Consider the following 27,052-nt stretch of genomic DNA (forward strand, 5'->3'; position numbering starts at 1 on the left):
CTATGTGGCCCACATATCAGATGAGATTTGTTTCTTAAAAATTATCTAGTCTCAGCCTATAGGACTCCAGGAACAGAGAACATTTCCATTGTTAGTGATATTATGGAAGAAAGTTGGATTGGAGGAACATAGAAGAATTCAGGATCCAGTCTAACCTACAGGTAGATAATGAAAAAAGCAATACAGAAGGCTGCAATTTAATAATGGGTGTATTGTAGCTTTTTGGGGAAACATACAACTTTTCTCTCCACAGTCTTTTTGATTTCTACCAAAGATAATAAGAGTGAGGAAAATTTGTAAAATAAGTTGAGTCTCACTGATTTTGGTCTGATTATTTCACAAGTGCAGCAGGACTAGTAATTCATTACATAAGAATTTTAGATTTAAAAACATCTCAAGGCTAACAAGACAAACCAAAGCAGACTTCATATTTTACCTACTGTCTTGAGGTTCCTAAGCCTGTTAGAAAGTGACCATTTTTACTCACTCACCATAAGGCTGAGAACCCTTGAAGCCAGGCATCCTATGTACATTCTCAAGTATGACATTCCAGTGAAAACCTGGGTAATATAAGCAATGTTTCCAATGCTAGGGAGGAGACTTTTATTGAAATTATGCAGACAGTTGTTTTACCATAAAAATAAGAATACTCGTGAATAGTATCCAGACTTTGGAGGGATCAAGTAGGAGAAGAAGTAAATGCTTACACTTTTGTTCATATGAGTATACTTTACCAAATTAAACTATAGATAGCTTAAGATAAAAAGTTTTCTTAAGCCTGAAAAACACTTAGTAAAGAACCAACAATGTCTCAAATAAAAGTCATAAAACATTATCTTTATCAGTTATTCAATCTCACGTAATTTTTGTTTTGCTTGATCCTGATTAGCAGCTTTATAAATTCATCAGTTTCTTCATCAGAGTTCTGGAAATTTGTTTTAGTCCACTGATCTTAAAGTTACTGGAAACCTATATTTAAGAATATTTGTTAGAGCCTTTTCCATGAATCTGATTGAAAGTGCTTTTAGAGAAGAATCGAAACTGTGAATGACAGAGACTTAGAATAGCCATGATTAAAAATTTGATAAAAGTGTATTATAATCAGCAATTGATATGGAAATTTGGTTATTTCTGTGGTATACAACATTTTAACACAACAACTGAAATTATGACTGATACCATTAGATTTCTATGAATCTATATAATTTTTGAAATAATATACCTATAAATGTAACTGAAAAAAGATCTAGCATCATTGATCATTTGACGAGGCTTTCAATATAATTCAACATCCCAAATAAGCCTTATTTAGTACAATATAACTTTTTTTTTTTTTTTGACACAATCTTGCTCTGTCACCCAGGCTAGAGTGCAGTAGTGCGACGTTGGCTCACGGCAACCTCTGCCTCCTGGGGTCTGCCTCAGCCTCCCAAGTAGCTGGGATTACTGGCATAAGTCACCAAGCTCGGCTAATTTTTGTATTTTCAGTAGAGACAGGGTTTCACCATGTTGGCCAGGCTGGTCTCGAACTCGTGGCCTCAAGTGATCTGTCTGCTTTGGCCTCCCAAAGTGCTGGGATTACAGGCCCACGTGAGCCACTGTGCCCGGCCCAATATCTCACTTTTATGAGCCTTTAAGAAGTTCTGGGGCCTCTGGAACATCCCAAAGTTAGTTCAAAGTCAAAAAAGACTTAATTTAGAACTTGATCCTTGGGAAGCCTAGCAAGGATATCAAAAGATTCAAAACACTTGATCAAAATAGGAACACAGGTCACTGTGAAATAATAGTCACTTATTTAACCAGAGTGGTAATCAAAGACTTCAAAAGTTATACAGAAAGTTACATAGATGTAAAAACAAAACAAAACCCCTTAACTCTTTCAAAACTCAGTTTTCCTAAGTAATCACAAAACTAATAAAGACAACATGAAACACAGGAAATTATCTTGATAAAATGTAAAATTTTTGTTTCTTAGACCAGTTACCAAAAAGGTAAAGAAAGCCTCCTGCAGTGTGATGGTTTCTCCTAATGGAAAGCCCGTTTAGCAAACCTGGAGGTTGAACCTGATGAGAAAGTACTTGAATTTAATCAAACACAGGAAGAATATGTGCTCAAGGCTATGAGTGTACCCCATATTATAGAGGAATGTAAATAAGAAAACTAGTACCTTGAGCAGGAAAATACATGGCTTTTAGTAAGAGTATGGGAAATTTCCTGGTTACATGGAACAATTTGGACACATCACGGAAAGCCAAGAGTATAGAATCAAGTTATACTGGAGGAAAACATTGCTCTAAATTGTAAATCTCAGTTCAGATGATTGAAAACATAAAGAAACAGATTTCAGAATTAAATCAAAACCTCTTGCAAATTTTACCAAGAACAGATCAATTCTTCAAGGAAACCTTCTTGTAACATGGAGAACCACATTTTAGTTTTATATCAGTGTATTTTTAATATCAAAGCTCAATCTTTTTTTTTTTTTTTGAGATAAGTTCTCGCTCTGTTGCCTAGGCTGGAGTACAGTGGCATGATCTTGACTCACTGCAACCTCCACCTCCCAGGCCTGAGGCGAAAGCGATCCTTTCACCTCAGCTTCCCAAATATCTGGGACTACAGGCATATGGCACCACACTGAGCTAATTTTTTAATGTTTTTGTAAAGATGGGGTCTCACAATCTTGTCCAGGTTGGTCTTGAACTCCTGGGCTCAAGTGATTCTCCTACGTCAGGCTCCCAGAGTGCTAGGATTACAGGTGTGTAATCTCCACCCAGCTTCAAAGATCAATCTTTAGAAAGATACAAATAATTTCCTTCTAATTATAGCTAACTTGATCATGCACAGAAGTTCTTTCATAAATTCATGCTTCACAAGCCTTTCATGGCTTACTCAGACCTTCCACAACCTACTTAGGCCTTCTGCCTTGTCCTATACTTCCTCTTTCTTTCTTTTTTTTTTTCTGAGACGGAGTCTAGCTGTCTCCCAGGCTGGAGTGCAGTGGCGCGATCTTGGCTCACTGCAAACTCTGCCTCCCGGGTTCACACCATTTTCCTGCCTCAGCTTCCCCAGCAGCTGGGACTATAGGCGCCCACCACCATGCCCAGCTAATTTTTTGTATTTTTAGTAGAGACAGGGTTTCACCGTGTTAGCCAGGATGGTCTCGATCTCCTGACTTCGTGATCTGCCTGTCTCGGCCTCCCAAAGTGCTGGGATTACAGGTGTGAGCCACTGTGCCCTGCCTACTTCCTCTTTCTTAAATAATCAGTCATTTTACTTTAGGAGAAAAAAATTACTTTCTTTTTCCTCATCATTTTGAAAACTATTCTCTTTTTAACCTTCCTCATCAAAAATACATGTTCATACTTAATAACTTTCTATGCAATGCTCCTTCCTACTTACTGATTCCTTTCTAACTTGTTTCTCTTTTTCTTCCTGCTGTAGTTTGAATGTTTGTCCCCTCCAAAACTCACGTTAAAACTTAATCCCCTATGTGTTACTATTGAGAGGTGGGGCCTTTAAGAGGTGATTGAGTCATGAGGGCTTTTCAACCATTCACGGATTCATGGGTTAATCATGGGAGTGGACTGGTGGCTTTATAAGAGAGAACTGAGACAGCATGCTTAGCCCCCTCACCATGTGCTATCCAGCATTGCTTTGGGACTTTCCAGAGGGTCCCTACTGGCAAGAAGATACTGACCAGATGTGACCCCTTGACTTTGGGCTCCTTGGGAGTAAACTTATTTTCTTTATTAATTACCCAGTTTCAGGTATTCTGTTATAAGCAATAGAAAATGATACTAAGATACTTTCTAAATTTACTTTTTTGAAACAACCTTAAATAATGTCTGAATTTAGAGAAAATTATACTTTTCAATACAGCACACATTTTTATGCCTTTCTTACAATTTTTCTTACCAAAAACACATCTTATTTTGGGGACATATTTTGTACACAGAATTATATACATTAATTAGAACTTTTAATTCTCAGTTACCTTAATTTCTAGCAAAAACTTAGGAAGTAAGCAGTTCTGAACTGTCTATTACATATCAGTATTTTATAGATGAGAACCATTTAATAATTTTTAGAAACATGTTTCACATAACATAATTTTTATGTGTATTAATAGGCCAAAATACATTTAGTTTCTCTATGAAATTCAAGAAGCCAAGAACAAACTTACATTTATGTCCAGCAATTTGTTTCAGTATTTTATCTTATTTGAAAGTTATCCATACATTTAATGAGTATCTATTACTTAATTTAATATCACATAATTTTAGGATTTCAAATTATGTGAAAAGTTTATTTATAAATATTTATCCCATGTACAGTTATCTAATTTATTCATTTTTAATAATTATACCTAGATTATGAAAATTGAGCTATTAGATAAAGCTAGTCATGATTTCAAGTTATTTCCTAGTTAACCATTTTTACAGCATGTGACTGTCAGGTGAATCACCTAAGTAAGAACCTTAAAATTAAATATATAGGTATCTTGCTGATAACTCAGAAAATACAGCTGTGTTCATTATACCGACAATATTAAATTAGTCTTATCAAAGACTCACACAAAGATCATTCTGTTTTTAGGTTGGGTTTACAGTTTTAAGACCTTAAAACATCCAGCAGAGACAAATGTGATCTTACCAGTAAACCTAGGTGAAAATGTATGCTGACAATTCTGAAGACATTTCTATTTTTATTTTATCAACACATTTAAAACCAGATTATTTATCAAAGATTTACATAAGTCACGTGAACTAAAATGCATTTGGGTTAATTACTATATATTTCAGCAATTTATATGAGGACTCACTTATTTAAGCCAATCTGAATAGAATTCTGTAAAGGGATTTCTGGCTGACTACACCAGATTCTACCGTATAGACACACCATACAACATAATACATATACGTATGTGTAAACACAGCTAAACACATGTACACACAAAGATTATATAGTTTTCCTTTTAGAATTTTAGTCATGATACAGTACAACATGGTAATATAAATTCACTAGTATAAAAGGAGAGTTGGATCCAAATTGTGTTTTTGACAAAACGGGATCCCTTCACATGGCTAAACTTTACTTGCTCTGATAGGTAATATTATGAAGGCTGTGGACTAAAATGTTGGGTAAAGTAATTTGATTAAAAATATATATATTTTACCCTCCCCACTCCCCTTTAGTTTTAAATGAGATTAAGGTTAAATTTTCAAATGTTTACATTTTGTCTAGCTCTGGCTGAACTGTATAAAAGAAAACAAAAGCCCCAAGTAGTCTTGAATTTTTGTTATGAATTTATATTTTGTTTGCTGAGTTGGTTTGCTTGATTAGTCAATGAAGGCGTGGAAGCATTTTAGAAAGGTATTTGCAGTTTTTCTTTTTGGCTTTTTCTGGCTTCTGCATGACAGGCAAGGTAGTTTTTATGCTGGACAAAGATATTATTGCTCTAAGCACAAGATTTTGATGTATTGTTCTGACAGCCTAACTTTTATAAACATTTATCAAGTTATTTTCTTTTACATTACCAATCCTTCAATTAGCTGTTCTATCACCCTAACCAACTGTTAGCCAGGCAAACCTACATTTACATTTCCAAAAGAATGACTCAGGTTTCTAGGATGTTGGTTACCAGGGAGTTTTTGTAAATTATAAAGCCATTAATTTGAAAGTCCTTTAAGATTTTATTTTTCTATCTTGCCTGGAATGCCATAGCATATCTTGATACTAGCAGAAAAGTCATCAGATTCAAAGTAGGTAGAAAAAAAAATAGAGAACTTAGAGGGCTCTATATGTTAGCTCTAAAATTAAAGTTTCTAATCCAATTCTAAGAAAAACAGGCTTGGGGAGTTCAAATGATCTTCATAATGGCCACTGATTTAAAAATTTGCCTGAAGAAAAGTCATGAGGTGTCCCAGAAAGCTTGGCATGCCTTAATGTTTGAAAATCCCATTCCATTTCTTATTAATCTCTTAAGAACAAAGAAAATCCTACAAATCCTATCAGAGAATGTCAAAAGTTTGGACCAGTGTCTTAGATGGTGACAACCATCCTAGTGGCTTTTAGCCAGCCATCATGTGCCCATCATTTAGAATGCTTTCCCCCTATCCTCTTTCAGCAGACATCTGTCAGAAACAAGCAAGGGAAAACAAAGTAAAAGAGCAAATCATTTACAGATGCAAGTAACCAAACCAAAATGAAACAAAAATTAAGACTGCTCACAAAAACTTTAATCCAGACATGTAGGCCAAACAAAATATTAAACTACATGCACAGAAAGAACCAAAAATGAATTTGCCAGAAAGACATGCCTCACAGATGGAATGTAAATTCTGCAGAAACCAGAAGGGCACTTGTCTCTACAAGTGACAAAAAGGGCTTGTCAGAAAAAACCTTTACAGTCCCAAGAGGAAGGCATGGTCCTTTTTTAAGAAGGCAGCCTTAAAACCAAATCAGGTCCTGAATAAAGTCAAAAGAACTCACCAAAAAAAAAGGAGCCTGAGAATCTGAGAGGAGATTCACGGGCAGAAAAGGCAACTTCATGGAAGCAGAGAATGCAGAGGGCTCAGTAAGTAGTGCACTGTATTACAGTGTACAAGGTGAGCTTACTTTGGCCCCGCTTCTGAACACTAAATGATGTCAACCTAAATAACAGAGAGAGGCTCTTTAGAAGAAAATTATACTTATTTGAGAATGGGCATTGCAATGAGATTATGTATGCAGAGTAAACTAGGTACATATTTAAGGAGGTGGGGGTGAGGGGACTTTTTAAAGGCAAAATGAGAAGAATAACATAAATTGTTTTGAAACAAGAATCCTTGGTTATAAGGATCAATAGCAAGGGTGGCATCTTCCAAAGGTTGACAGGTAGTTGCTGGGCAGATGTGCTTGCAAAAGTATTTTTGTGTGTAAGCTTGCAATAACCTTTTGTAATGTTGTGGATTTTGCAGTCTTTTGTGACAGTTCTTGTTATGAAGCATTAGTGCATGAGTACTTTCCTTTCATGGCCTTCCCCAGCTTCATTTGTCAGAGTTTTAACACAAGTGACTCTATTTTGATTTTGACAACTTTCACTAAGACAATGAAATGAGTTGGACGTTCTTACCCAGAAACATGGAGATCAATACAGACCTGCTGGCTATTAGAACCAGCAGTTACTTTTAATAGATAAGGGGCTTCCTCCCTGCATGAGAGCTATCTAAGCCATCACGGTTTTAACTAAATCTATGGAAGAGATAGTCATGGGCTCTCTTCTTACTATCTATGTTCCTCATGAAGCATTACTCAACTCTCATCATACTTAACATCTTTCTGCAAGCAGACTCACTACTTAAGAGATCTTGCTCTGGATTTCTCTTTATATTATTCTGTGTCATGCAATAATATTAATCCAGCAACCCTCCTTCCCCTACCTGATGATGAGACACCACATGACTATCTAAATCTAACTGACCAGCTACTAAAACCTAGAGTTGATTTACAAGAAGCCCTTATACCAAATGCAAAACTTTCATGGTTTAAGATATATCATTTATGACAGACAATGAAGAAAAATATCTTGCTGAATATGCTACTATCACCTTATACTGAAGTAGTTGAAGCAGTCCCACTGCAAATGACTAGTCTGGCCCAGCAAGCAAAACTTTATGCCTTAACCAGGGCTCGTATTCTGGTGAAAGATAAAACTGCAGATATTTACTCTGATAGCCATTATGCCTTTGTGGTTGTTCATGATTTTAGTATGCTTTGGAAACAGCATTTTTAACCTCCAAAGGAAACAAAATATAAAATGAAATTTTTATCAATAATTTATTAGATTCAATACAACCTCCCTCTTCCTTGGCCATCATCAAAGTTTCTGGGCACTCAAAATTGGATTCTGATAAAGCTAAAATGAAAAATTTTATTGGACTCATAATGGTTGCATTTTTTGCCCAGCATAAAATTTATGTGGTATGGTCTCAATAATAAAGTGGTATTACCAGAATCAATGAAAAAAAAAATCCCGACTCAGAATGATACATTAGATGATTCATTGGGCAACTGATAAACTTGTTAAGTTTTCTAACATAGTACTGGTGGGGAAATATTACAATGACAGCCAAAAGGCCACAACTGTCTTGTATTGTTTGTCCAAAATTCAACCACGGAAAGACAAGTCAGACAGTTCCAGGTCATTTTGGCATGCCTAATGGACCCTTTGAGGTTTAGCAAATAGACTGCATCCAGCCACCTCTCTCTCAAGATTCTAAATAGGTTTTTTTTTTTTTTTAGAACGGAGTCTTGCTCTGTCGCCCAGGCTGGAGTGCAGTGGTGCCATCTGGGCTCACTGCAAGCTCCGCCTCCCGGGTTCACACCATTCTCCTGCCTCAGCCTCCCAAGTACCTGGGACTACAGGCGCCCGCCACCACGCCCAGCTAATTTTTTGTATTTTTTAGTACAGACGGGGTTTCACCGTGTTAGCCAGGATGGTCTCAATCTCCTGACCTCATGATCCACCCGCCTTGCCCAAAATGCTGGGATTACAGGCGTGAGCCATCGTGCCCAGCCAATATGTTTGTTTTCTTTGATTTTTTTTTTTTTTTTGAGACAGAGTCTCGCTCTGTTGCCCAGGCTGGAGTGCAGTGGCGGGATCATCGCTCGCTGCAAGCTCCGCCTCCCGGGTTCACGCCATTCTCCTGCCTCAGCCTCCCAAGTGGCTGGGACTACAGGTGCCTGCCACCACGCCCGGCTAATTTTTTGTATTTTTATTAGAGACGGGGTTTCACAGTGTTAGCCAGGATGGTCTCGATCTCCTGACCTCGTGATCCGCCCGTCTCAGCCTCCCAAAGTGCTGGGATTACAGGCGTGAGCCACCGCGCCCGGCCGGCCAATGTGTTTTTGTTATGATTTGTATGTCTTCCTATTGGGTAGAAGCATTCCCTTGCCAACGTGCCACTGCCTCAGCCATTTCAAGACTATTAGAAAAGATTATTCCTCCACAGGGCATACATTCAGAGTTACATAGTGACTGAGGAGCTTACTTCACTGGCCATGTCATAAAACAAGTCTGTGAACTCTGGTCCATATTACAAGACTTTCATTGTACCTACCAGTTCCAATCTTCAAGATTGGTTGAAGGAACAAATAGCATTATCAAAACTCAGCTGGTAAAATTTGTGGAAGCACTGAAGTTGTCTTGGCCAGTGGTACTTCCTCTGGTCCTATTAAATCTAAGGTCTGCACCTTTTGGAAAGTTGTTACCTTTTAAAATTATCACTGCATGGCTGATGCATTTAGCCCACTCTGCTTTTAATGTTAAGTTGATTAAACCAGGCATTCTCCAATATCGTAACGGAATAATTAAGGCTATAGACATAAGCCATACCTTGGTAGAACAATATTTCCATAGTAAACTCCCAGGAGACAAAGGCACCAGACATCATACCCTTCAGCCTGGTGATTTGTCTATTAAAAGAGGTATTTATAAAATAATTTCCTTCAACCTTGATGGGAAAGGCCATATCAGGTACTCCTTACCAATTCCTGCACTGTCAAACTGAAAGGCATTGACTCTCAGATTCGTGTTCCTCATTTAAAGAAAGCTCCTACCCCTGCTGGAATTCAGAAACAATCGGAGATTTGAAGCTAAAACTGACCCAAAGTGAAGCAGATGACAGCTGAAGTTGACTGCTTACCCAAGACACCTGGACCAGACCTCTGTATTATTAAGCTCCCTGAAATATTTGGCCTCTTATTTGTTGCTGTCTCTATACTCTTGGTTTTTGCCTTTTAATCCCTTGCACAACAGAGTTACACTGAATTATATCTTGGCTGAGCAAGGAGGTGTTTAGATTGTAGCCAATATCTTCTGTTACACCTGGATAAATACTTCTAACAAAGTAGAAACCAGATTGGAAAGATTTGTGCACATGTTAATTAATTAGCTAGAATACCCACCATTAAAGTGTGTGGCTTTTTTATCTTGTCAGTTGACTACCTTCTAAAGTTAGAAGTGGATAAATTTCAGTCTTCAACTTTTGTTACTCGCTATTGTGGTTATTGTTGCTATTGTAATATTTAAGTTACTTATGTTACTTCTTACCCAGGTTTACTTAGAAATAAAAGTTTAAACAAAGTAATAGTTGTTTAGAAGCTCAACATGATCAATTAAGCCTATAATTCAGAAAAGACAGCCAACCTGACAACTTTCTGGGGGGACCTAAGAAGCCTTGAGAGCTCTCCTCTCAAAATCTCCTTGTTACTCAGATGTGGCCCATTGTAGCCTTACACTCCCTTAGAATGTGAATCTCTCCCAGGGAGAAACATGATTCCTGGGACAGGTTATCCCAATGACAAAGAACAAAATTAAACTTGCCAACTGATCTGCAATGCTTTCTGTAGAAATATCTTGATTAAAAGGAGGAAATGTGAAAGAAAATGAAGTAACTAAGGCTAAGGCTTTCTAAAGTGCAGTTGGCAGATTGTGAGAGGATTGCACTCATACTTGCTAAAGGTCAAACCACAAGATGTTCCAATAGACTCAGATTAACACTGGCCTTCAACATCTCTTAGCTGGGAGTACACTGGCTAACCAATCAAAACAGATTTGGGATTTAGTATTTTTGGGCCTCTGAAAACAACTTTTAGTGAAAATTCCCTATTTAAAAACCTCTCCTGTTCTTGCTTTATGAGACATTGCTCAGGGCTGCCCTGATTCAGTGTACAATGCTTTGTTTCCCAAATAAATGCTATTTCCTTTGACTTCTGTGCCAGTCTTCTTAGCTAACACCAGTTAATTTGATTATTAAAAAGAAAACCTACAGGAGTCAGACAAATCCATCCGTGAACTAGGTTAGGTGTACAGTGCTCCAGTTTGTAACTTTTGCCTTGAGTTTCCAATAGCTTGATGCCTCTGGCTCACAGGAAAAAAAAAAAAAAAAGGTCTTGCTATAATACTGTGAGCAGCCTTTAAAGCTCCTTGTCCCTTAAACAATGTTTAAATGCACACAGCCAACACTTCCTTAGTGACACTCATTTTCCTATGTTTCTACGTTTTTATGATGGACCAACTTTGCTCCCTCACACACATCCTCACATACTTTGGATGAACACATTGTTTAGGTATTATATTTATTATTTTATTGTCCATCTTGCTGACCCAACAGCTGTTCTATCTCTAAATAGATTTGCATTCTCCTCTGATTGCTACCTATTGATTTCATGGTTTAACTCTCATTTCTCTTGCTTTTAAGTTCCAGGGGGTCAAATCACTGTACCTCCATGAACTGACAATATTGCCTGGTAAAATGTAAGCCTTTTTGTCAAAATCATAATTTATTTTCAGTTCTGCCCCTTTGACCTGGAATAAACTATTTTTCCTACATTTTGATAAAAACAATAATCTCCCAGTTGGCCTGTTTAAAATAGAACATATTAAATGGGCCATCTGTATGATATCTGTATTACAGTTTTGAAAAAAATAATGTTTGAGCACTGTTTAGGATGAAATAAACTGCAGAAATGATTCTTAATGCTTTTTTTGTCTAATCACAGCTGGTTCATTAGATATGTTATTTTTAAAATCAGCAGCATGGTCATAGAAACATTTTCTTCTCAATTTGCCACACCAGTAGGCATATGGTGCTGATGCCGGCATGAAATTGAGGCAGTGAAGCCTTGAAAAAACCCCATAACATTATGTTTTACTTTGGGTACTAACTTGAGATTAAGCAGCTGTTGACTGAGTGAAGGGGGCATTTTAGAGACAAATTTTATGGTCTGGACTTTAAACTCTGCTTAATGGAATGGAAGGTTCTGTCCTTTGAAGTGCACCTATTGGGGCATCAGGTCTGGATGGCACACTCACTGCAGCCAACGTAGCCTGTGCTTCATGGTTCCAAAGAGAAGCCAGCTCTCTGAAGAGAAATCAGAGGATGTTTCATTTTGCCAGTCTGATCTTAAAGAGGCACTGAGATATTTGGTATTTGGGAACATTATATCTGGCACCTGGCCCTGAAGTTTCAGTTTATTTAAACAAATGTATGATAATGAATTTTTATAAAGGCGAATACCTTTATAATGACCACCCATATCAAAAAACAAAACATTGCCTTTCCTTCAGAAGCCCTTCTCATGCGCACCTATCCCAATGATGATTTTTAATCTTTCTCCAATGACCTTTATAGTAATTGCTGCTTTAAAAATACTTTTATCATCCAATTGTGCATCCCTGAATATTATGGTTTTAGTCTTGCTCATTTAAGAAAAAAGATGTATTTTAAGTTTTAATCTGATCATCCACTTCTTTTCCTCATATATATATATATATATATATATATATATATATATATATATACACACATATATATATACTTTTTTTTTTTTTTTGAGACAGAGTCTCGCTCTGTCGCCCAGGCTGGAGTGCAGTGGTGCGATCTTGGCTCACTGCAACCTCCACCTCCCGGGTTCAAGCAATTCTCTGCCTCAGCCTCCTGAGTAGCTGGGATTACACACCTGGCTAATTTTTTGTATTTTTAGTAGAGATGGGGTTTCACCCTCTTGGCCAGGCTGGTCTTGAACTCCTGACCTTGTGATCCATCCACCTCAGCCTCCCAAAGTGCTGGGATGACAGGCGTGAGCCACCGCACCCGGCCCTTTTCCTCATATTTTATCTGGGTTCTTGGACCTATAGAGTTTCTCACAGTCTGGATTTTGCTGATTGCACAACTCAGGATGCAATTCTGTCCCTCTGTCCTCTGGTATTTCCTGAAGGAATCAATGATTTGGTACACTGTAACAGTCTGAAGGTAATCAGTTCTTTTGTAGATATATGAGCTCATAGATTTAAGCATATTTGATTAGCTACTATCCATCAAAATTACTACTAAAATTACTATTACCATTGAGCTCCATCTTTGGTCAACAAGATCCATCTTTGGCCAACAAGGTCCATCTTTGGCCAACAAGAGCTTAAGTTGGCTCCTGAGCCTTTTTAATGTGACTCTAGTAGTCTTTGATAACTTCTTTGGTACTTGGTACACAATATATTCCAGGCTCATTTTATCACTTTCGGCCTCAGACCTGGAATCTGCCATTTCTTCTAGAAGCTCTGGTTTCCTTTAGTGAGAAATAGTATTTTAAGACCACAATTTGGGTACTAGGGATGCCCTTCCTTCTAGGTTGGTCATTGTCTCCAGGCCTTCTCTGTCTCTACTTGTCTCTCTGTCTCTATGCATTTATTTATATTTATCTATGAATATAATCTGTATATGTTATATATAATATGTAAAAATATATATTTCTAAATCATTTTAAAAATAACTTGCAAACATCATGACACTTCATCCCAAATGATGTTCTTACTGAAATTTCACCCGTTATCATTTACAAGAAATTTAACATCATCTGATAATATAACCATCTATATTTAAAGATCAATATTTACATCTCCATTATCCCCCAAATGGCCTTTACATGTATTTTTTAAATCCAAGATTAAACCCAGGCTTATGCATTACATTTGATTGTTACGCCCTTTTATTTCTCTTTAATTTAGATTAGTATCCACCCCTCCCCACCACACACCTTTTATCTTCTCTGACACTGACATTTTGAGGAGCATGAGCTGTTGTCTCTCAGAATGTGCCACAATTCTGGATTGGCCCTTATGATTACATTAAAATTAAACATTTCGACAAGAATACTGCCTAGGTGATATTGTGTATTTCCCTCTTGTAGTATATAAGGAGAAGGCAGATAATATCAATTTGTTCTTTTATTAGTGAGAAAGAGTTTGATCCCTTGATTAAGGTGTGTCTGCCTGATATAGTCATTGTAAACCTCTTTTTCTTTTTTAATTAAAAAAGAATCCATGTGATGATAATTTCAGATAATGTAACTACCTTATTTTTCAAACTTTCACCCAATGGGTTTAGTATCTTTTTCTAATCCTTACCTAAATCAATTATTCTATAAATGTTGTAAAATGATTTTCTAATTAAATCATTTCTTCTATCTTAATTAGCTTTCATTTCTGTGTAAAGAAGACCTTTTCCTCTTTTCCCTTTTTCTATCTCTCTGAGTATTACTGGGGGTATCACAGATTTTAAAATTTATTATATTACTCAAAGTGGCAGCACCTTCAAGCTGGCTCCTTTAAAGAAAAAGAAATATTTTGTGTACTTAGGTTCCTTGTCACAATCAGAAAGGCATTTTATAAAATCTATGGAAATATGTACTGTAAGGTCACACACCACATTCCAGTTTCCAGGACAGTGACCAGCATCCTGTCACTTTTGTTGAAATGAACTAAACTTGCATGTGCCTGAACCATGTCCCTTCTTGGTGGAAGTCAGGCCAGCAAAGAGCATTGCAAGTGGTTATCTAATAAAAGAGAGGGTGGTATAGTGATTCTCAAATCAGGCACAGCTTGGTCCAAGTGCCACTTCTATCTTATCAGTAACTTTAAGGACATAGGAAATGATACAACTTCTCTGAGTCTCAGTTTATTAATTGGTTAAAAAAAAAGACATACGATAGGAGTGATTGTGAGGTTTATCAATCACCCCGTTCACTGGAGGCATTCAGTAAATGATAGCAAACATAGAGCAGCCAGAGTTTGAAAAGATGCAATGGCATGAAGATCTAACTTATACTCCTGGTTTTTTTTTTTTTTTTTTTTTTTTTTAGTCTTCTTGCAGGGAGAAAAGACTCACTAGGGAAGAAGCCTGCTCTGGGGTGCTTCAGAATATAAACTTGGGGGAAATCCATCTTGTTTTATCCCATCAATGACTGAAAGCAGGGGTTCTGATTTGTGAGTGGGATATTTTTCTGTCCAAAAGAAAATGCTTGTCTTATCTCTGGGTTTTTATTATTATGGTAAAATATATGTCACATAAAATTTTCCATTTTAACTATTTAAAGAGATATAGCTCAGTGGCATTAAGTACATTCCCACTGTTGTGCAACTATAACCACCATATATCTCCAGAACTTTTTCACCTTCCCCAACTAAAATTCTGTACCCATTAAACAATAACTCCTGAGTCCCACCTCCCTCCAGCCCCCTGCAACCATCATTCTCCTTTCTATCTCTGTGAATTCACTACTCTAGGTAACTCACATAAGAGGAATCATAAAGTATTTGTCTTTTATGACTGGCTTATTTCACTTAGCATGTCGTTAAGGTCATATATGTGGTAGCATGTATCAGAATTTCTTTTTGTTGTGGTAAAAAACAACATAAATTTTACCATCGTAACCATTTTTGGGATGTACATTTCAGTAGTGTTAAATGTACTTACATTGTTGGGAAACAGATATCTAGAAGCTTTCCATTTAGCAAAACTTAAACTCTGTATCTACTAAACAACTCTTATTTTACCTCTTTGTCCAGCCCAATAACCACCATTCTACTTTCTGTTCTTATGAATTTGACTACTTTAGATACTTGCTATAAGTGGAATCATACAGTCTTTGTCATTTGTGACTAGTGTATTTCATTTAGCAAGTTTAATCTACGTCGTAGCATGTGACAAGATGTCCTTTCTTTTGAAGGCTGAATAATATTCCATTGTATGTACATACTACATTTTGTTTATCCATTCATCTGCTGATAGACATTTAGGTTGCTTCTAATTCTTGACTATTGTGAATAGTGCTGCTATGAACATGGTTGTACAAATATCTCTTCAAGCACCTGCTTTCAATTCTTTGGGATATATACCCAGAATTGGGATTACTGGATCATTTCCTTCCTTTTTAAGGCTGAATAATATTCCATTATATGTATACATTGTATTTTGTTTATCCATTCATCCATCAATGAATATTTGTGTTATTTCTACCTCTTGCCTGCTGTGAATAATGCTGCTGCTATGAATATGGGTGTACAGATATGTTTCTTGATTCTTTTTTGAAGAGTGCCTGTGGCTCCCTGTTCATTCATTCATCATATCCATATTGGCCTATCCTAGTACTTATCCTATCCTAACACATAGTTGAATTCAGCTAGAAGCTATTTCTTTTCAAGTTCCACATAGAGCAAACATTCTAGATTGAGTCCTAATTAGATAGCTCCATTGGAAAGGTGCTGTTGCTGCTTTTCTTTGACAACTTTCTGCTGCTACCACCTGAGGTTTGCTGGGGGCAAGAGAATGAGGCCTTCTTTATTGTGAAAAAGACCCTAGATTCACAGTTGTTTGATGCTGTGAATGCTTTATTCCTCTGCAAAGAGCCTCCCATACACAGTACCACAAGCCCTATATTCTCCCGAGCTGGGAGAAGCAATCTCTTCTACCTTGCGAAAGAAGAGTAGCCCTCTTTGCCAATAGATGACACGAAGACCTGAGATGTAAGATGATGCTTGTCCTTTTCCAGATCGACCCCCACCTTCTATCATTACTACTGGATTAACAATTAGAATCATCTCAGCACAGCCCAAGCAGTCCCTGCTGCAGGAGCAGCCAGTTTTCTTCTGAAAGAACTGCAGGATCTTACCAATATATACTGGCAGGAACCTGAGAACATATGTGGGACTGGATCTTGACAGTGTTGGACAGAGTAAGGTGGAATGTAAACTTGTATAGAGGGGCCTTTATTGACCTGGGAGCACCCTCCCATGACTCAGGATTTAACTCCCTGGCAAGGACATTTAATAGGTTGCTGGCCAAGTTATTTGGTGCTTGGACATGAAAATTTACAGTAAAGGAGACAAAGTATGGAGAAAAGAGTAAAAGGGCACATCAGAATTGGTTTATTGCATGATATCAGAGAACTTAACAAATCCTATGTTCCCCAGGAAGGTCCAGAAGACAGTCCTTTTACTAAGACAACAAGGAATGCCCCAGTGAGGGAGGCACTGACACCACTGAGTAGTCAATGGTTGCTGTCTCCTGTAGGCTTAAGGACCATGCCCCTTTAGCCCATCTGATTCCAGCACAGACTCAGTATTTTTGCCTTAGGACATTCTCCAAAATTTGCTCATCCTGCATAGATGAAATCTAGAAGCATGGGGAGCTTAATGTCTCAAGGGACTGTGATGGTTAATATTATGTCTCAATTTGACTGGTCTAAGGGATGCCCAGATAGCTGGATAAACATTATTTCTAGGTGTGTCTGTGAGGGTATTTCCAGAAAAAATATAGCATTTGAACCAGTAGACTGAGTAAAAAGATCCACCCCCACCAATGTAGGTGGGCATCATCAAACCCACTGAGAGCCCAGATAGAACAAAAAGACAGAGGAAGGGTGAATTCTCTCTGTTTCTCCTTGAGCTGAGGCATCTTCTCCTGTCCTTGGACATTGGAGTGCCTGGTTCTCAAGCCTTCAGACTTCAATTACATTACACTATCAGCTTTCTTGGTTCTCTAGCTTACAGACAGCAGATCATGGGACTTCTCAGCCTCTATAATTGTGTGAGCCAATTCCCATAATAAACCTCCTTTTAAAAGCATGTGTGTGTGTGTATATACATATATACACTTATATACAAACTGTATATATGTGTATGCATATTTATAGACACTATATACAAACTATATATATGTGTATATATATTTATATACAAACTATGTGTGTGTGTGTGTGTATATATATATATATATATATATCATTTGAATATTTGTCTCCTTTAAATCATGTTAAAATTTGATCTCTGGCCGGGCACGGTGGCTCACGCCTGTAATCCCAGCACTTTGGGAGGCCAAGGCAGGCGGATCACAAGGTCAGGAGATAGAGACCATCCTGGCTAACACGGTGAAACCCCGTCTCTACTAAAAAATACAAACAATTAGCTGGGCGTGGTGGCGGGCGCCTGTAGTCCCGGCTACTCAGGAGGCTGAGGCAGGAGAATGGTGAGATCCCGGGAGGCGGAGCTTGCAGTGAGCCGAGATTGAGCCACTGCACTCCAGCCTGGGCGACAGAGTGAGACTCCGTCTCGGAAAAGAAAAAAAAAAAAAATTTTGATCCCTAATGTTGGAGGTAGAACCTGGTGTGAAGTATTTGGGTCATGAGGGCGGATCCCTCATAAATAGCTTGGTGCTGTCCTCATGGTAATGAATGAGTTCTCCGTCTATTAGTTCCCAAGAGAACTGATTGTTAAAGAGCCTGGCATCTCCTTCCCTCTCTTGCTCCCTTTCTCACCATGTGACACACTTTCTACCTCTTTACCATGACTGGAAGCTTCCTGAGTCTCTCCCCAGAAGCAGATGTCGGTGGCATGCTAGTTGTACAGCCTGCAGAACCATGAGCCAAATAAAACTCTTTTCTTATAAATTACCCAGCCTCAGATATTCCTTTATAGCAACACAAATGAACTAAGAACACACACAACACACATAAACAACACATAAACACACACAGATACACACACACATGTAATTTTTCCCCTTCTGTTGGTTCTGTTTCTCTGGAGAACCCTGACTGATACAGGGGCTAACTTCACTTTTCAATGAATGAGTAACAAGTTAGATAATAAACTCCCCAGTTTCTCTGTTCTTCAGTGGAACATTCTGAGGCACATTCTCCACAGTTCCTTTAAGGGTCTGTGGTGGGACTGAGTCCCTGATGTCCACAGCAGTAACAAGTCACCCCACACTGGCCTTTCTCCTGTTCTGTCTCACACTCTTAGCGACTTCACTCCTGTTCCCTGGGATCTCCTCCCAATTTAACTACCATACCTCAGTCCTTGTCTAGGTTTTGCTCTCAGGAGAGCCCAAACTAAGGCTCTTCTGAACTACAATTTCAAGTTACTAAAATTTGTGTCTGGATAGCATGGTATGCTGAATACCCATTAGTCTATAAAGATATGCTCATTCAGAAAACATATTCTAGCCTAGCATTAACTGATTAATATTAACATTTTCAAAACTCTACAACCCACTCCCTCTACTTCAAATCCATTTAGAGGAGAGGCTGAATTTTCCCCATATTTCCCCAAAGTTCTGATGGAGTACTTGATGGCAAAGCCAGGTAAAGCTTACAATATGTGTGAGCAAATAGCCAGAACTACAGTATTTCATAAGGAGTGACTGTTACTAAAAGCAATAAGGGGGACCTAATTAGAGAGCTAGTGCAACTGGCAGTAATTGCATTTTCTCATGTAAGCATCTTAGCACATCTAAGTGCTTAGCCTTAATTCTCCACACTAACTCCCATTAAATGTTTGTACTGTCCTTTGCTAACACCCACCTTTCCTAAGTTATTGTCATGCTTATTCTGTAGCACTATTTTCATTCTGTGAAACATTAGCTGGTTCTTTTTCCCCCTTTTATCAGGGAGAAATTTTCATATATTTAGGTCCCAGATCTTGAAATGTTCTTTCTCTGGTAGACTCTAAGCCTTGCTACTTCATTTGAAAAGCTTCCAAATCCCATTTCCTTCACAGGTCTTCTCTCTGAGGAGCATGATATTGCACCAACTCCAGCCTCTTTAAATTCAGAATTCCTCAGAGATCTTCTTTCCCGACCTCCCACGAGGGCAGCTCTTGGCAGGCACTGAGGTTCAGACTGGTTCCTCAGATCCCTCTTTGTCCTTTACACCTCTCCACAAAGCATGTGGCTCTTCAGTTGGAAATTCCTTGACATCAAAAAATAATGGCTTTGTAATTCAATTCCTGGCACAAGGACATGCATGGAGAAACACTTAATAGAGTCGTTTTACGATGATTGAGCCAGATGTAAATGCAGAGAACACAGTTATTTTGCTTTGAGTTAATATTAGAAGGCTCAGTGAGCAGGTTCACATGGCTATAATATAAGTGCTATACTTCACAGCACTTAGGAGCCAACGGTAATTTAAAAACACACAGACAATAAGTTATATGAGGTGGAGAGTCACAGAACCAACCACATTCCAATATAATATTGAGTGTTCTTTGGGGCATAAAGCATAGTAATATCCTAGATCCATTACCAGTGGTATTCCTTATGTCTATATAGTCCTAAGGGTCTATAAAAATGATGGCATTGGGTAGGAGATAGGTCCATTATGCAAATCCAAGAATATTAAACATGGACAGGATGATAGAGATTATCTGATTCAGCCCTCTGATTGTGCATTTGTGGACACTGTCATGAAGAGGCTTGCTCAATGCACACAGGTAGTTAGTGGAATAGTGAGTCTTCTGACTCCTAAGTCTGTGTCTTTCCAACAACATGCTATGTGGATGTGGGGAGTGAGCCTGTTGATTCTTTTCAAACTGCAGACTTATCAGGAAGCCAGGAAGCACTTCTAATCTAAGGACCTATATAAAGGAAAAAATTCTCAAATGAAGAGTAAAGTTTTATATATAAGAATATTCAGGCCAGGCAAGGTGGCTCACGCCTGTAATCCCAGCATTTTGGGAGGCCAAGGTGGGCAGATTACTTGAGGTCAGGAGTTTGAGACCAGCCTGGCCAACATGATGAAACTCTGTCGGTACTAAAAATACAAAATATTAGCCAGGCTTGACGGTGCACAACTGTAACCTCAGCTACTCGAGAGGCTGAGCCAGTAGGATTGCTTGAACCCAGGAGGCAGAGGTTGCAGTGAGCCAAGATTGAGCCATTGTACTCCAGCCTGGGTGACAGAGCAAGACTCTATCTAAAAAAAAAAAAAATATATATATATATATATATATATATATACACATATATATACACACATATATATATGTGTGTATATATATACATATATGTGTATATATATACACACATATATGTGTGTATATATATATTCATTATGGGCTGTTTACAATAGCTAGAAATTATCTAAATGTAGACAATAAAGTAATAGTTAAGTAAATAATGGGATAATTATACAATAGAATAGTGTGCAATCATATAAAGTGCTCTACTAAAAAATCTTAATGCCATAGGGAAAGCAGAATACCAAATTTGTATATGTCATATTACCTTAACTGTGTAAACATATATATATATACACACACATACATAGGAGAAAACAGACAGAAGCATACTGTTTTCAGTGTGCTTACTGAAATGGTAACTGTGATAATTATGTATCTTTGAGTGCTGAAACTAGGTGGTGATTTTTATTTTTAAAATAACATTCACACAGTTACCATAATGATTTTCCTACAGGAAAAAGAAGCAAGTAAGATAACCTAAAATATACTAGTAAGAGTAATCAAATGATATAAATTTTTATGTGAAAGACAGTTTTCAATGACTCTCTGTCAATCTCTGAATAGGGGGAGATGCATTATCACGACAAACCAGACTCAATCATAGCAATGTGCTACCTTGGATTTTTGACATGTCAAGTACAAATGATATAACATCAGAAAACATCAACTGTATTTAATTTGTGTCTCTGAGAAGAAAGCTATTAAACTTTCAAATTTTCCTTTTTTCTTTACTTTATGACCAGCATTATTTTTCCTGTTACTTAAAATTTATTTATGAACTAAAGGTTATTTTAATTTTGTTTTTTGTGCTGCTGTAAAAATCATGGTCATTGTGCTGGTTTGAATCTTTTGAGATTCAGGTGTCAAGATTAGATGTGCAAGACATTTATTGAGGTAATGCAGGCAAACAATAAATGGAGAGAGCAGGAGTGGGCAGAAAGTGCCTTCAGACAGAAACAAAAGTCTGACCCCTGTGGCAGCGAGGCCATTGGGCAGTTCTTAAACCAAAGTACCCACTGAAAGACAGACTTAGTCCATTTGTGCTGCTATAACAGAACATCTGAGATTGGGTAATTTATAAAAAAAAGGAAATTTATTTCCTCATGGTTCTGGAGGATGGAAAGTCCAAGATTAAGGCACCAGCCTCTGGTCTCTGGTGAGGACCTTCTTGCTATGTCCTCACATGGCAGAAGAGCAAAAGGGAGCAAACCTACTCCACAAGCCCTTTTTATATGGCCCTAATTCAATCACAAGGGAAGAGTCCCTCATGACCTAATCAACTTGCAGAGGCCCCATCTTCCAATACTATCATCTTGGTGATTAGGTTTCAATATTAATTTTGGAGGGGGCAGCACATTCAAACCATATCAAGAACACTGTGTCTCACAGGAATGGAACTGTATGTGTGTCTCCATTGTGGTCAGTCATTGGCTCAGGGCAGCCATGGGAATTGTCCCCTTGGTACAAATGATGGTGGTGCATTCAGAAGGTCATTCAGTAGGGCCACAATAAATTATGTCCATTACATTAGGATATATGAGTGGCACAAGTTCAGGGTTATCATAGTCATAAGATGCACATTACAAGAAGACAGATAGATGGGTAGTTCCATAAGCCTTTGAAACACAGAATGAGTGACCTTGACATTTTCTTCAAGTTCATTGCCATATGCTGCAGTGCCAAGAGGCAATGCCTAGAATAACTTGGAATGAAGCATATTTGAATTTGTGAGCTGATAATGTATATCACTTTAAAATCACCTCACAGATACAGAAATAGTTATTGTGTGCATATTTAATTTCTCTAGATGAACTTCGGCTGGGGACAGGCAACTCATCTACTCTAATGTACTTTTGTTTTTGCTAATTCCCTATTTCAGGTAAATGTAATGAAGATAATAATATATTGTAAATGAGATATCAATTTAGGACATTTCACAGTACTTCCTTTGAAAATATTGGCTCAACAGAAACTATAATTACTGGAAAGCAAAAAATGTAAAGCTGCCATACAAACTGAAGTGTTTCTACTATTTCTCTGAGGAATTTAATCAATTCAGTCAAAGCAATCAACAAAACCAGTTGTTTATTATTATACATGCCAAATCATTTAATGACTAACTAGGTTTCTTCAGATTTCACTGACTAGATGTTGAACTGCTGGGATAACATAAACCAACATGCCCAAAAGGCTCTTCAGGTTGCAAGACTTGAGAAAATTCACTAGAGCTAATATTAATGAGTAAAACCCCATCTTCTCTCAATTATTTTACATTAGAAACAAAAACACTCTTGAATTATTAAATGGTCAAAACAACCAGTGAGGCTGTATAATATCATACATTCTTATTAATTTTTTTAAGTTATCTTGCTCTGAGGGGTGACTATATTTTTAAATTTTGCCTCTGGGATCCACTTTATTAGGATATCTTTGTGTTTCTGGGACAGAACAGACCCTGTATGCTCTGCTCGTGGTATAAGCTCACGACTGCTTCTTGATTTGATTTGTGTTACTCTAGAAAGACAAATGAGGAACCAGACTATTTCAGTCTGTGATTCATTCTCAAGTCAAGTGTGGTTCCTGGACCTAGCAGGAGCAGCATGCTCCCGGGAACGTGTTGGAAATGCAAATCCACAAGCCCACCTCAGACCTACCGAAAGTGGCACTTTGGGGATGAGGCGAGCAATATGAGTTCTAACAATCCACCCAGGTGACTCTGATGCATGCTAGGAGGAGGTCTGGCTGACACCACTCCCCATGGTGTATTCTTCGGAAGGGTATTCTGTGGCATATTAACACGTGTCACACAATGAAAGGGTTCCTCATTTGAATACGTTTGGGAAATTCTGAGATAAAAAAGTTAAATAGAGCAAATGGACCACACTCCTCCACAGTTTCCCTATAGGTTATCATATACAGATACCTGTTTAATGTCCCACAAATAGGATATCCCATGCTCTTTCTCCCAAGAGTCTAGTTCTCCATCCCTCTCAGCTATTCAGAGAGAGAAAGAATTCTTCTTTCAGTACAGAGTCCACTTTTTTTCCACCCAAACGTGACTGACAGGGGGAAAATTCAGTGTGGTTTGATGCCTCATTCCCTCTACTGCAAGGCAATCATGATAAGAAATGGGTAACATGTTAAACAAAGTCTGAGTTATTCAGTCTTAAATAATTACCCCTTTGGGACAATATTCAATTTACTCCACATATATATTTGGAGAAAAGACACGTCTTCAAGGACAAAGTCTTGCTACAAACATAGCAAATTCCTAGTACTAAACTGAATGAAAACATCTTGGTCTGAATTATCTATATTTGTATTATTTCAGTGGTTCAGGGCTTTCCCAAAATTAATGTGGGGTCATTTGCTTTCCATCTATCTTCAATGTAAAACCTAACAAGGACTTGCCTACAGAATGGATTCTAGCTTCCACTTTAGCACACAGAAGTAGGTGATGAACCCCAGGGTGGTAGTTTTTCAGTTTCAGTAACTTGCACTGCAAACTCTACCACTAACAACAGGAAGAAGCTGTAGGCAACTTAAATTATACTGGTTTTCCACTAACACAGGGGATACTAAATAAGACTTAAATGAGTTCAAATTACTTCTTCACTTAAGAAAAAAATTTTAATATACTCCAATGCTGTAAAATTTTAGTTTAATTTAATAATGAAAAATAGATAATTTAAAACGTTCATTTTTGGTTAAATATTGTACGCTGGAGAGCAGGAGGACAAGCATGCAGTAAAGGGGATTATTCCAGCCTCTACAGAAACAACATTGCATTTTTTGTTCGCCTTTGCCTGGGTCAAGATATACTCCCATACAACCAAGTACAAACATCTAATGGCCATGTAGAGAAGAAGCTTCCCAAAAACTCAGACCCTAATGAAAGCTGATAAAATCTGGGTGAGACAAAACTTAGAGAATAACTCAAGCATGACTTCAGACTTAAAACCTCTTAAAGGAACACGTCAAATTATGCCAAGTTGCTTGTGCCCAGTTGTAATGAGAACAATTCAGTGCTGTAGGAGAAAGGGCACTAATTTAAGAGTTGTTGGCATGGCAAACAATAGATGATGTCTCATCCCTTTATATCCTATAATAAGTGTGTGTCATCCCAGCCTCTCCTCTAGTTCCTCTGACTCAAATTCATGTATTGTTTAAAAACTTACTAAAATGCACTGAATCAGAGCACTGCAGACAATAAAAATAGAGGCAGTTTTTGACGCCAAGCCAAATAATTTTGGCATTTATTCCCAATATGCATGTAAACAAACTGTCAGGCACCCTTATGTACGAATGGAAAATTATTCATAAAGGGGAATGATGACTGAAGTTCTGAGAACAGTTACCACTGCAGGGAATTAATTCACTGACGCATGTAGTCTGTGGAGGGCTGTTCCTTCATTTAGTGTCACATCACATTAGCAAACATTTCATTTCATGTCGTACACCACTAAACACAAAACTCTATGTAAACCACCATAATTAAAACCCAAGTCTTTCAAAACAAAAACGTTAAGGCTCTCTAATGTTCTGTTTTTTCTTTCTCCATAAAAAAGGAGGGAAAGAGGTAGGATTACTACCTGAAAGCTGGGAGGTCAGACCTTAGAAAATGGCCATCAATAAGGCAGTCACATCTCTTAAATAAGGGGAGTGATGGAGAGATAAAAGCAGTACAACTGGATTTTAAATGTGTTAAAATAAACAAAACAAAACAAAAGTTTTGTTTTGTTTGGATGAGGGGTCATAGATTCTGGTTCATTCTTATAGAAAATCAGAAAATCTAAGTTTTAGTTGTAGCAGAGACCGCTAGATACCCACAACTATGTATCCTCCCCATTCTATAGTCATATGATTTGTAACTGGGTACATGGCCTTCAAATTTGTCTGTATATTCCAGGATCCCTTATAAGCCAAGTGTGGCCTATGACTAACTTGTAGCTGTAGGGATGGATACAGAAAGGATGTGTGCACCTTGCAGGGTGTACCTCTAAAGAGAAGGGGCATGCTCTCCACTTCCCCTTCCTCCTTTTCACTGACTGAAATGTGGATGAACATGTAGATACACGTGAAGGCAGTACCTCAGTGACCAGGACCAGGAAGAAAGGATCCTGGGTTCTAGGACCATTGCGTTGCCATAGGAACCCTGACCACTCACACACAATTTAAAAAACCTATTTTTATAAAGTCATAGTATTAGATTAGCTGTTATTGAAGTCACATGCATATTCTAATAAATACAATATATGTTTGTTAAAAATGAAGGATATAAGTCTTCTAGTCCTGTATAGCAATGGTTGGTAAATTATAGCCATAGGTCAAATCTGGCCAATGCTTGCTTTTGTAAGCAAAGTTTTACTGAAGCACAGCTATGTTCATTCACTTATGTATTGGCTGTTTTCCCACTATAATATCAGAGTTGAGGTGTATCACGAGAACACACTCACTATCGTGAGGACAGCACTAAGCCAGAAGCAATCCACCCTTAAGACCCAAACACCTCCCACCAGGCCCTGCCACCAACATTGGGGATTGCAATTCAACATGAGATTTGATGGGGACATATATTGAAACTATATCATCTACCAAAGAACACAGGCCAAGTTCAATGGAATGAGATCAAGTGCTTGGAAATCACCTAATGAGTATATGGTGTCCACGGTACTCTTACATTTGTTAAACAAAAATTAACTGTATGCTCAAGTATCTTATGAAATTCTTACCACTGGAGAAATACAGAGAAGGGCCCATTATTCCAGTTGTGGGTAAAGGAGAAACACTCATCCTTTGGGGCTACCCAAGGACAGAAATAGTGAAGAGAACTTTAGTCTTTGGGCTTCTCTGGGTGTATTCTGTTTGTGTGCAGCCCAAGGGAGCCTACTATATTTTTATTACTCACTCCAGTCTTGGTCATACCTTCTTTCTGGGGCATTTGGTGGACTGTCTCTCATTGCCAGCACCTGTTACGACGTCATGCACCTCAGCCTCAACTACTTTTCCACAAGACTACACAAATTCTTTAATTATCTACAGAGCCTACTAAGAGAAGGCTGACATGAACCGAGCAAGTGATGGGCAGGCACAATGAGGGGGATGAAGATGCAGAAATGATACATTGACTTTCTTCTCATATCCCCATGGAATTAGAAATATTTCTTTTCACTTCCAAAATTGTGAATAGAGTACCACTCTTTTAAAATTCTTATTATTAAAAAAAATTTTTTAAAGGCAGGGTCTCACTCTGTGGCACAATCATAGCTCATTATAACCTCAAACTCCTAGGCTCAAGTGATCCTCCCACCTCAGCCTCCCAAGTAGCTAGAACTATAGACACATGCACCACACCTGGCTAATTTTTAAATAATTTTTTGTAGAGACAGGGTCTCACTATGTTGCCTAGGCTGATCTCAAACTCCTGACCTCAAG

This window comes from Homo sapiens, chromosome 14, assembly GCF_000001405.40.
Source record: "Homo sapiens chromosome 14, GRCh38.p14 Primary Assembly".
NCBI classification, from domain to species: Eukaryota; Metazoa; Chordata; class Mammalia; order Primates; family Hominidae; genus Homo; species Homo sapiens.